The sequence below is a fragment of the Homo sapiens genome, chromosome Y (assembly GCF_000001405.40).
Source record: "Homo sapiens chromosome Y, GRCh38.p14 Primary Assembly".
Taxonomy (NCBI): domain Eukaryota; kingdom Metazoa; phylum Chordata; class Mammalia; order Primates; family Hominidae; genus Homo; species Homo sapiens.
In genome coordinates, this window is record NC_000024.10 from 17,872,251 (window position 1) to 17,884,818 (window position 12,568).

The 12,568-nt window shown below is 40.2% G+C and overlaps 1 protein-coding gene and 1 pseudogene across 1 annotated transcript; both read right to left on the reverse strand.

Moving 5' to 3' along the window:
- Nucleotides 1-6,009: 6,009 nt before the first annotated feature.
- CDY2B (chromodomain Y-linked 2B) lies at nt 6,010-7,970 on the reverse strand. Its single transcript, NM_001001722.2, has one exon. It carries the CDS (start codon nt 7,640-7,642, stop codon nt 6,017-6,019), a length of 1,626 nt encoding a protein of 541 aa, NP_001001722.1. The 5' UTR covers nt 7,643-7,970; the 3' UTR covers nt 6,010-6,016.
- CDY6P (chromodomain Y-linked 6 pseudogene) lies at nt 9,748-11,884 on the reverse strand (annotated as a pseudogene).

A 12,568-nucleotide genomic window follows, 5' to 3' on the forward strand; every position in this document is an offset into this window, starting at 1 on the left:
TTTTCTGTGGTTTTAACCTATTATGAATAGTTTAGAGTAATTATGAAGTTTTGTCCTGTTCACTTATAAGCCTTCCAGTAGGCTCACTAATTTTTTTTTTCACTCCTCTATAGGACCAATAAGATTCCAATCGAGTTTTCAGCACTCCGTCCTTTCCTATTACGAATAAGAATTCTGTTATCAGTTCAACTTTTTTTATTCCTTTTCACCCTCCCTTTTTCAAGATTTTATAAAAGACATGTGGTTCATCCATGGATAACTCTGCTCTCTGTAAAGCTGCCTGCTTTAGGGCAACAGTTAGGGTTTGGTTTAGCAGTAATGTATCATCTATTCAGGCATGATTGAACACTTGAGTTAGATTTTGAAATATCTCTGTATATCCACCAGGGTCGTCAGAGGACATTTGCTTATCTTTTTCATTTCTTTGTCTAAGTCTTTGCAATGAGAAGAAAACTTCTGCTATACTAGTATCACATCTATGGAGTATTTTCCACAGGGGCAACAGTGAGGTTGGGTTTTCTTTAGTGGCACAACAAGACAAGATGATGAAATGGCTATTGGAGCTTCTAAATGAGGGTGGCAGGTATGACATTTAGAAGATACATTTGAGGGTTCCTCAGGGGCTTGTCTCTGACTTTAATGAATTATCTCTTTGGAACTTGCCTGTTATGACTGACAAGAGGGCAGAGTCAGTTTTACAATACTTAGAAAGATCTGGGTTGTCTCCCACGTCAAAGTAAGGTTGTCCAAAAAAGAAAAAAAAAATCATACTCTTTTCTTTGCCATCTGAAGAAAAGATATACCTGTTGAATAGTACTAAAGCGAACACTTCCCTCAGAAAGCTAGGCATGTCTGTCCTGGAGCTGGTAGGGCTGTCATGCCCTTGAGCAATAAATACATAAATAAGCCACTTTCATTTTTCAGAGTCTCACAGTCAGTGAAATTTCTGTGTTTCAGAATGTAATCTAGAGAGGTGCGTACTGCAGACAGTTTGTGAAGTTTCTAAAGAAATATATAAAAAAAATTCCTATTCTCTTTTTCCCCCTTTTGAAATAGCCCTGACTGAATAAAAAGATAGGATATTCCTTGTTTTTGCATTCCTCTTGTCTTTTCTGAGTCTGGTGACTGACATAGGTGTCCCCCATGGATGGAAGCTAAACCTTCACCCACAGTTCTAGAGGATCTAGACAGCAGGACAAGTAACATTTTCCTGCAGAGGCTTTAGCTCTCTACTGGTGACTCTTTGTTGATTTCTTAAGCCTACTCAACCCAGAAGATACCCAGAGTAACTTGGGAGCCTAAAAAAAAGATTATATAGTCATTGGATTCTAGCAAGACACTTGTATAGAGTAAGAATTTTAATACTATTTGTGGCTTCCCTTGCTATGGCCTAGAAAAAATACTGAAATTGCAGGAAATAAGATAGATTGAGTTGAAACATAAAATTCTCCGTTAGTTTAAATGTCAGTGCTGCTGGAGGAAGAAGGTGTGCCTCAAAGCAAGTAAAGCTTGTATGGCTGGCTTTCATAAGACAGCACTTAGCTAAAATATGTCTCTCAAAGACACCTTCTTTCTGATTATTGAAAGTGGAAATTTTCTGTTTACTGATAGGGCACAGAGTTAGAGAGATATAACAGAGAGAGGAATTAAAATCCAAGGGTTTTGTGCAAAGTACTGACAAGCCTTCCCCAAGAGAAAAACCTCATTTTACTAGGTTGCATTTTAAGATCTCAGATATTCCATGAAAATGCTGAATTCCAGGTTTATATAGTCAAAACTTAGAAAAGGAAGGTTAACGCTCTATCGCCTGTCCCCACAGTATGTGTCTCTGCAGAAAAAAGAAGATGTGTCTCACAAAGAAACTGTTTAGATATATATGGCTGTGCTGAGCTTTTTAAAGAGAAGTCACCCGCCAAACAGGGAAAATTTATTGGAATGTATGTCATTCCCAACAGAGTCATGAATGTCTATCATCGGCGGACAAAAAGACCCTTATCCAATAAAAATTTTTAGACCACAATTTTGAATTCTTCCTCTTTTGAAAGAAAAAAAAAAACACAAAATAGCAACTCTTTGAGTTATATTTCTACTGACTGACTTTTACCAGTAAGCTTGTATCTCCAGGTCTCAACATTGCATACAAAGAAGAAATAGGAGGGACATTAGCCACACAATGACAAAAAACAAATAAATAAAATGCCACAGAAAAGCCTGGAATTTTTGGTGGCAACACTCTGATGGGCTGTCAGAAACTGGAGTTAGTTTTGAGGCCTTCACGTAACACCGTGGTATAGCCTTAACCAGAAATCTTCAATTAACTTAGATATCCTTTCAGTCCTATGTGACAGCTGGATCCTCTCTGAAAGAAAACAGTTGGAACAGAGGCAACATTTTCAACAGCGGAGGGTGAAAGGAGACTGCCAATGTGTCTCCCAGCATCCCTTTCTCCTAAGCTTTGTAAGAATGGCAGGCAATCCATCGGATTTTACCTGGCACTGGCCCAGAGCTTTGTTTGCTCTTCAGAAATTAAAAAAAAAGAAAAAAACAAATAACAAAAACAAACAAACAAAAACTGAGAACAAGCTGCAGATATGAAAGCAAATAGAGGACAAGCTGAAGATATGAATGTAAATAGTTTGGAATGGCACCCCTACTCCCTTTTTTTTTCTAATGGATTCTCTGTCACTTAAACTGGAGTCCAGTTGCATGATCTTGGCTAACTGCAAGCTCCATTTCCCGGGTTTATGCCATTCTCCTGCCTTAGCCTACCAAGCAGCTGTCACTAAAGCTGCCCACCACCACACCCTGCTAATATTTTGTATTTTTGGTAGACTTCATGAGGGCTTCACCATGTTAGCCAGGATGATCTCCATCTTGATCTCCTCCTGATCTTCCCACATTGGCCACCCAAAGTGCTGCGATAACAGTCATGAGCCACCATGCCCAGCCCCTACTGACCTTTTTAATTAAGGCCTTTCCAAGTCCATGAACCAAAAACAAACTTTGCTGTCCCCCAGTGAACCACAATGTATCAGTCTCTCATTTTTAGGTGACACACAGATCTTTTTAATCTCAAGAAAATTAAAAATTAGGAATGCAAAAGGTGAGATGATAGTAAATGTTTAACATGTTAACTTCTGGTGGAGTAGAGTCAGTTGCCCACTTTGAGAAAGAGTCTGATATTTTTATGGACTCAGAAGGAAGAAAAGGTACTAACTAGTTTTGAAGAAAGCACTTCTCATCTTTTCTGGGTCCTTGTGCCTGGAACTATTAATGGCGGATGTAATGACTCAGCTTGGCTCAGGAACTTGGCCCTGAGCCACACAAGAGCTAAAGGGAAAGCATGGCCCAGGACCTTGGCCTGGGACCAGAGTCTTAAATGATAATTTACAGAAATTTGGCTCGGAGTCTGAAGTATGTTTAGTAATATAAGGTACCCTTTGTAACACATTGGAGTCCAATATGTACAAGTTCTAAAAAAGAGAGAGACTATTTCCTGGAAGCACTCTGGTTACACAAAAGACACAACATTTTAATGCGGGGTCTTGTTTGTTTTTTTTTTTTTTTAATCTGAGTAGCTGTGGGCATGTCTTAAGCACACACACACAAAAAGTTGGGCTTTTTTTAAAAAAAAATTATTTGCTTGGGCCACAGGATTGTGCAGGATTCTTAAATTTGTGTCTGCAGCCTGATATTTCAGGCTGTTTCTCTGCTTGCAGAAATTTTACCAATAATCCACCACAACTATGTAGCTTTTCTTTGTCAATACTATTGAAGACCTAGATAGTTTCTGAGAGTCAAAGGCACATTGTTTGAAGTTTCCTATGTGCAAGGCTTTTTGCCCTGTGAAACCACCCACATCTTTGTAAATACTGTAAAATTGTTCCTGCTTTCTTAGCAGTCATATCAGAAAAGCCCACAAGAAACAACTCCCAAACGTCAGAGAAACATTCTCCCTGGAAACACTCAAAACCACATTTGTTACCACAGGTTTTCTCATCTTCTTGATGCAGAGAATCTTTTAGTCACATCATCATCAGCTTTTCCAGTTTTTACATCCAACCCTCCACGTTCCTTACTACCCCTATAGGAAATGCCCAATGAATGAGGTGCCAGTAAAGTGCAAGTTTCTTTTTCATTACAGTACCTTAAACAAATAAAGTAAGACCTGGGGAAGTTTTCTGATACATCAATAAATATATAGAGCCTTTCTAATATCTAGCCCTTTTTTTGGTCTTAAATGGGAAGATGTTACCTTATTGCTGAGCCAAAATCTTACTGCTTCTGACAAATAGCCCTACAGTCAACAGAAAGATGCTGGGCCAAGATGCATTTCTTCTATAGCATGTCATAGTAAATAAAAAGCAGTCAAAGAGAGAAAGAGTGAAGAAAAGACAAGATGCTAATTTCCAGTAGAAAGAGAGACAGAGCCCTTTGAAAACCCTAATTTAAGTCATAGTGATCCCATAGATAAGAAAAAAAAAAAAGAAAAAAGGAAAAAGAAAGCAGGACATTGGCCCTTTAGATACCCCAGCTCTAAACCTTTCCCATGCCAGGGCTAGGATGACGTCCTTGGGTCTTTGCATTCTCTGGCATTTCTTCTTTTGTGGATGCCACTGCATTCTTCAGTGCCTGCAGAAGAGAAAGCTTGTGGTATGCCTGATTCACCTAAAGGTTTTCAGGGAGCTGTCACCTGTACCAGCACCTGACCTGCTTACCTCATCACAGATAACAGGCAAAGCTGTGTGCAGTGGCTGGACTGAACCAACACTCACTCATGTATCTGCCTCCAGTCTGTGCCTGGTGCATCCATAGCAAAATGAAACCTAAGCCCATAGTTTGAGCTGAGTGCAGCCTGTAAGATGGGTTTGTAAAATTAGAAAAGCAGGCTCAAGGGAACCTTGCACAAAGGTGCCATCATCCAGAGAGGTTCTTGGCTGGTGAAGTGACACACTAGAGATCTTGTGACAAAGATGACATTCATCACCAGTGGCCAGTGGATTATTCAATTATGCCTATGTAATGGAGCCTCGATAAAAACCAACAAGACAGGATTCATAGAGCTTTTGCATAACTGAGCACATACAGTGTTCTAGAAAATTGTGTGCTCATAAAAAGAGACACTGATAATTGTAAAGGTCATACAGAGTGTAGGGGTGTTTGTTTTGAAAGAAGTTTCTGCCTTTAATAATGTGTCCAGAATTTTAACTTATTAACTAGAACATACACTAAAGTAACCTAAATCTGCACATTCCACACATTAGAACCTGGATATTTCCACCAAAATGATTCCATAATTCACTAATGTGGTGTAACAAGTTTTACTTTAGAGCGATAAAGTTTTCTTTTGTTAACTGGGTAAGAACTAGACATTTATAAAGGAAAAGAAAATCAAGCGATATCTCACCACCAATTCTAGTCATGTGTTCAGTTTAGGAGAATGATCGTCAGTGGATTTTGTGCCATAAGTATTTATGCTAAAAGATAAGTCTCTTATAATTGTGTGTCTCTGAAGTGTTTGTGCCACTATAAAGTCAAGGGCACCATCTCTGATCGTTCTGTGTCTTTCTGGGAGGGAAGCTAAGGCTGCTTTATATCCCAATAGAGGTATTCTAGGATATAAAAGTAAGAAAAAATCAACATTATTACAGGATTCTCTGTCATAAACATCTAATAAAACACAACTCTGGTCTTATATATAGTAGTAGCCATAGATACATATTAGAGCTTGCAAGAAGAGTCTAGTACCCAACAGTCTGTTTTTATATTTGGGCTTAGGTGTGCCTAAAATAATCACATTTGGGCAAAGAGGCTGTTTTGTTACTCCTTGTAAAGCTACAGTGCTTAAAAATGATGTGATAATTTAAATACATAGCTTGGACATTTGCAGTTCTGTTTCCAAGCCTTAGCTATGGGTGAAATTGTTTTGGGCTATGAAGATGGATTAGGGCATCTTGCAACTCATGATGCATTTGTTGCCCCTTAGTTCTTGTGTCCTGAGCAGACAGACTGACAATTAAAACTCATCAATTTTATTTTCAACATACTTTAACATGGATTCTATCCCTTGGGCTGAGCTCCAGATCTTCCTCAGCACCTCACACTCTCTCTCATTGGCCTGTTCCAACTCCAACTTAATATTACAGCGAACGAGGGCCTTACATTCTTCCAGTACAATTGCATTGTATGAGGCAAGCTCCTTAATTTGAATCATAACCTCTTGGGTGAAAGTTCCAGTCAAAAATACCTGAGAGACCAGGCCTTTGGCGCATGCCTCCCGTGCTGTCAGCTTTCGCCCAGCAATTAACATTTCATTGGCAGATGCTTTACCCATCATTTTGGGGAATGTAATAGAAGAACAGCCATCTGGACTCTGTCCAAAGGTCGTATAAGGGGTTTGGAACCAAGCCTTTTCATTAGCCCACACGAGATCACAAAGAGGCAGGATGGATGCACCTAGTCCAATGGCAGGGCCATTGACTGATACAACAATAGGCTTTTTAAATTGAATAAAAGTATTCACAAAGTTCTTGATGGTGTCCACCATTTCAAGGCTTGCTGTGTTTCTGTCATTCCTTAAGTGCCTCACAAAGTACCCAAAATCAAGACCGCAGCAAAAGACACTTCCAGCTGCACTGAACAGCACGAGCTTGCTGTCATCTGCAGCAGCGCTATTCAGAGCATTAACCATTTCTTTAATTACTTCTGTATTCAGTGCATTTTTTTCTGTCGATCTAGTTGATAGCACTATCTGGGTGAATCCATCCTCTTTCTTCACTACAATGTCTCTGTATGTGATGGCACTTTCTGTTAGCCTTATGGTGAAGTGCATCTTCTTGATAAAAGGCTGGCCTCTGCTGTCATCAGTAATATTTCTTTGCCCACCTTTCACTCTTGGAACTGAGGTATGCATGTCTGTTGTCCCATTGGCTGCTAATGGGTCTATTAATACCACTATACCCTTTCGGGTAGCTGAACCTGTGGCCATAGAAGCAGTAACTGAGCCAGACATCTGCGACATTAGTGGGTGCATCTGAGTCTTGTTCTGTATTCCAGTCTGTTCTGCACCAGGATGTGACAAAGGGTCCCGGAGGAGTTTCCCTTCTGTCACCTTGAAGACCACCGTGTCCTGCTGATCTGCTGCAATAGGGTCCAGTTTCTCAAGTTTCTGAAAGCCACTCACAGTTTTCTTGTGGTCAAAGGGGCTGTCAGGTGCAAGGGTCTCAATAGTTGAATTTATTATCTCCATATTCTTTGTGTCGGAGAGAGTTGAAGCTGCCTTTCTCCTAACGTTCTTGCTGGCAGCAAATAACTTGCAGTTTTTGGACCTGTGGTGTTTATCAGTCACTGGAGTTTTAGGAGAGTTCTTAGAATAGTTTGCTTTTGTAGATCTGGAAGTTCTTCTTCTGGCATTGTTTGAAAAAATTCTACTGGTTGTAGTCCATGTCAGTTTTTTCTGTTTTTCAGTCTGTCGTCTATTAAAATCATGTACACATTTTTCACAGTTCATGAGGTGCTGCTCTGGTTCCCAAGTGTCATCCTGTTTGTCATAACCTTTCCACCGAACCAAATACTGTGTATTCCCATTTTTATCCTGTCTTTTGTCAACAATAGCTTCAACCTCAAACTCCTGGGAAGCCATGAGGAAAGACACGGGATTGGAACAGTTGCTGTGCCACCTTTGTTTCAGTTGCGTCTCCACATAGACACTTCTTTCTGCCTCCAGCTCTTCACCAGGTTCTGTGTATGGATGAACCTCTTCTATTTGGTCACCACTGGTGTAGTGAAAATTGTGCGAAATAGCAGCTATGCCATGTGCCTGAACCTCTCCACACTTACTGCCTGGTGGGACAGCTTGGGCTTTGTCTCGTGGTGCATGACAGCTTGCTCAGTAGCCTCAGGTGAGAGTAGCTAAATCCACAGCCCCAACCCTCTGGTGTAGTACAGAAAGCTTTCTTCCTGCCTGTTACTCTTTTGTGTTTCTTTGTTTAATTGTGGTTGCTATGACGATTATATGGAACATTCTAATGTTATAACATTTTTAAAGTTACACTAGCTTACCTTCAGTAACATACAAAGCCTTTACTCCTGTATAATGTACCTCCATTATTTCACTTACTGAGTTCTCAAAATTATACCTTTATTGATTTTATGTCAAAAACACAAATTAGTGGTAGTTTTTTTATTAAATATATTTGTGTTTTAAGTTGTGTGGAGAACAAATTGTGGAGGTGCACATTGTTAATTGTTCGTTTTGTTTTGTTTTGTTTTGTTCTGTTTTGTTTTGTTTTGAGATGGAGTCTCGCCCTGTCAACGAGGGTGGAGTGCAGTGGTGCGATCTTGGCTCACTACAAGCTCCGCCTCCCGGATTCACGCCATTCTCCTGTCTCAGCCTCCCGAGTAGCTGAGACTACAGGCACCTGCCACCTGGCCCGGCGAATTTTTTTTTGTATTTTTAGTAGAGACGGGGTTTCACCGTGTTAGCCAGGAGTGTCTCGATCTCCTGACCTCGTGATCCACGCACCTCAGCCTCCCAAAATGCTGGGATTACAGGCGTGAGCCACTGCGCCCGGCCAAATTTTTTATCTTACATATTTGTTCATGTATTTATCTTTACCTTAATCTTTGCTTGTTCATACTGCTTTTGAGTGTCTGTCCATTCTACCCTGAAGTACTCCATAAGACATTTCTTAAAGGGTAGTCTACTTGTAAAAGGTGCCAGTTTGTATATGGGAATGTCATAATTTGTCCCTCACCTTTGATGGACAGTTTGGTGGATCATAATGTTTAGGCTTGACAGTTTTTTCTGACATCACTTGCAATATATTAGGCTACTGCTTTCCATCGTTTTAGTTTTCAGATAAGAAATCTACTGCTTTTCAGTGGTTATTCAGATAAGCGATCCACTGGTTATTTTTAGGGTCCCTTTTACATGACTAGCTACTTCCCCTGCTTCCCTTGAAAATCCTCAAGATTCTCTTTGTATTTATTTTAGACAGTTTAATTATCAGGTAAGTTTGAGTTTGTTTCTTTGAGTTTTTGTTACTTGGAGTCTGTTGAGCTCCTTGGGTGCTTACTTATTGTCTTAAATTGTTGCATTCTTTATGACTATGTTGTTAAATAGTATCCATGATTTTTTGTCTCTTCCTTGGAACTTCCAAAATGCGTATGTATGGCTGCTTGATGGTGTCCCTCAGGTTTCTAGGCTGTATAAATCTGCCTTGCCCCTTTTCAGACTCCATTGGTGACCACTATATGGTTGACTGACCCCAAGGGTGTGTATCACAGTGTGGGGACAGTGTGTCAGTTGGTCTCGCAAGGCTGATGCGTCCCAGAGCTCAATTCCCAGACTTCAATCATTGCAGTCTCATTAGTGCACTACGATCTAGAAATCTCTAATTGTGAGGTATCACACAGAGTTCTTTGTCTCATGGCCAAGAAAATTCAGGAGGATGGATGCAAAAAGGTTGAATCAAAACTTTTATAAGTGAAAGTAAAAAACTCTTCACAGTGAGGGGTGAAATGTGAGTGGTTTACCTACTATGAGGCTGTGCTTTACGGTTTCTAAGGGCAGAGAAGTAAAGAAATGTGCTTAGTGTTCTTGGAGTAGGCGTTATTTGGCTTGGCCCTGAAACTTGGCCTTGGATTCATCTGGAGCTGAAGTGATGATTTGTAGAAGCTACAAGGCTCAGCCTTGGAACTTGGCCCTGGACCAAGAAGGAGCTGAAGTGACAGCTTGGCCTGAGACCTTGGCCTGGGATCAATCAAGGGATGAAGTAATGTCTCATGGCCACAATAATTAAGGAGGCTGGATGATGCAAAGTTCAAGTAGGAACTAAAGTAACACAACAGCCATCTGGACTCTGTCCAGATGTCATATAAGGGGTTTGAAACCAAGGCTTTTCATTAGCTCAGAAGAAATCACAAAGAGGCAGTGTGGATGCACCTATTCCAAAGGATGGGCCACTGACTGATACAAAAACAGGCTTTTAAAATTGATTGAAAGTATTCACAAAGTTCTTGATGGTGTTCACCATCTCAAGGCTTGTTCTGTTTCTGTCCTTCCTTAAATACTTCAGAAAGTACCCCAAATCGAGACCACAGCAAAAGACACTTCCAGCTGCACTGAACAGCACAAGCTTGCTGCCACCCACAGCAGCCCTATTCAGAGCATTAACCATTGCTTTAATTACTTCTATATTCAGTACATTTTTTATGTTGATCTAGTTTATAGGCACATCTGGGTGAATCTGTCCTCTTTCTTCACTGCAATATCTCTGTATGTGCTGGCACTTTCTGCTAGGCCTATGATGAGGTACATCTTCTGGATAAAAAGCTGGTCTCTGCCACCGTCAGTAACATTTCTTTGCCCAACTTTCACTCTTGCAACTAATGTATGCACATCTGTTTTTCCATTGGCTGCCGATTGGCCCATTAATACCACTATACCTTTTTTGGTAGCTGAGTCTGCAGCCATGGAAGCCGTAACTGAGCCAGACCTCTGAGAAAATAGTGGTTGAATCTGGGTCTTGCTCTCTATTCCACAATGTCCTGCCCTGGGATCTGATAAAGCCCTGATGATCTTCCCTTCCTCCTCCTTGAAGACCACTGTATCCTGCTGATCTGCTGCAATAGGGTCCAGATTCTAGAGTTCCTGAATGCCACTCACTGTGTTCTTGTTGTTAAAAGGGTTGTAAGGGGCAAGTGTCTTTCTTGATAGTTGAACACAGTAGCTCCATATTCTTTGGGTCGGACAGAGGTGACCCTGGATTACTGCTAACATTCTGGCTGGCAGAACATAACTGGCTGCTTTTGAATTTGTGGTGTTGGCCAGACACTAGCGTTTTAGGAGTATTCTTAGAAAAGTTGGGCTTGGTAGATGTAGAAGTTCATCTTCTGGTATTGTTTGAAAAAGTTCTAGTTGTTCTGGTCCATGCCACTTTTTTACTTTTTCTGTTTTTCAGTCTGTCATCTGTTAAAGTAATATATATATTTTTGACCGGTGCTGCTCTGGTTCCCAAGTGTCATACCGTTTCTTCTTAACCTTTGCAACACCAAAAATTTTTGTTGTTGTTGTTGTTGTTTTGTTTTGTTTTTTTTTTTAGACAAAGTCTTGAGCTATCACCCAGGCAGGAGTACAGTGGCACAATTGCACAATCTCGGCTCACTGCAACCTCCACCTCCTGGGTTCATGCGATTCTCCTGCCTCAGCCTCCCGGGTAGCTGAGATTACAGGGGCCTGCCACCACGCCTGGCTAACTTTATGATTTTTAGTAGAAAGAGGTTTTCACTGTATTAGCCAGAATGGTCTCCATCTCCTGAACTCGTAATCTGCCCGCCTCAGCCTTGCAAAGTGCTGGGATTACAGGCATGAGCCACTGTGCCTGGCCTCTGTCTTTCCATTTTTGTCTCATCTTTTGTCAACAATAGTTTCAACCTCAAACTCCTGGAAAGCCAGGAAGAAAGACACAGGATTGGAGCCATTGCTGTGCCAAATTTTTTCCATTTGCGTCTCCACATAGCCACTTCTTTCTGCCTCCAGTTCTTTACCAGGTTCTGCGTATGGATGAGCCTATTCTATTTCATCACCACTGACGTAGTGAAAATTGTTTGAAATAGCAGCTATGCTATGGGCTTTAGGCTCTCCACAATTATGCCCTGGTGGGACAGCTTGGGCTTTGTCTCATGGTGCATGATAGCTGGCTTAGTAGCCTCAAGTGAGAGTAGCTAAATCCACATCTCTTACTCTCTGGTGTAGTACAGAAAGCTTTCTACCTGTCTGTTACTCTTTTTCTTTTTTAATTGTCATTGATACTGTGATTACATTGAATATTCTAAAGGTATTCCACTTTTAAAGTTATACTAGCTGACTTTCAATAACACACAAATCCCTTAACCCTGTATAACTGCACCCCCATGATTTCCTTATTGAGTTCTCAAAATCATACCTTTATGCACTGTATGTCAAAAACGCAAGTTAGTGATAGTATTTTTATTAAATATATTTGTGTTTTAAATTGCATGGGAAACACATTGTGGAGGTGTACACTGATATTCTTTATGTTTTATAATAGCTTATATATTTATCTTTACCTTAATATATATCCATTCATACTGCTCCTTATTATCTGTTCATTTTACCGTGAAGTATCCCATAAGGCATTTTTTAAAAAGATAGTCTACTGGTAAAATGTCCCAGCTTTTATCTGGAAATGTCATAATTTCTCCCTCACTTATAAGGGACAATGTTTTGAACATAAGATATCTGTTCAAAAGTTTTTTCTCACATCATTTGGAATATGTTAATCTATTGCTTTCTGTCCTCTGAGTTTTCAGATAAGATATCTGCTGATTATTTTTGAGGGTTACTAGCCAGTAACATAACTAGCCACTTCTTTTGTTGCTTTCAGGATTTTCTCTGTCTTTCTTTTGAAGAGTTTAATTATCATATAATTTGAGTTTGTTTATTTGAGTTTCTCTTACTTGGAGTTTGTTGCCTTTGACATTCTTTAACATTATTGTTTCTAAATAGTCTTCCTGATTCTTTTTCTCATCCTTTGAACTTCCA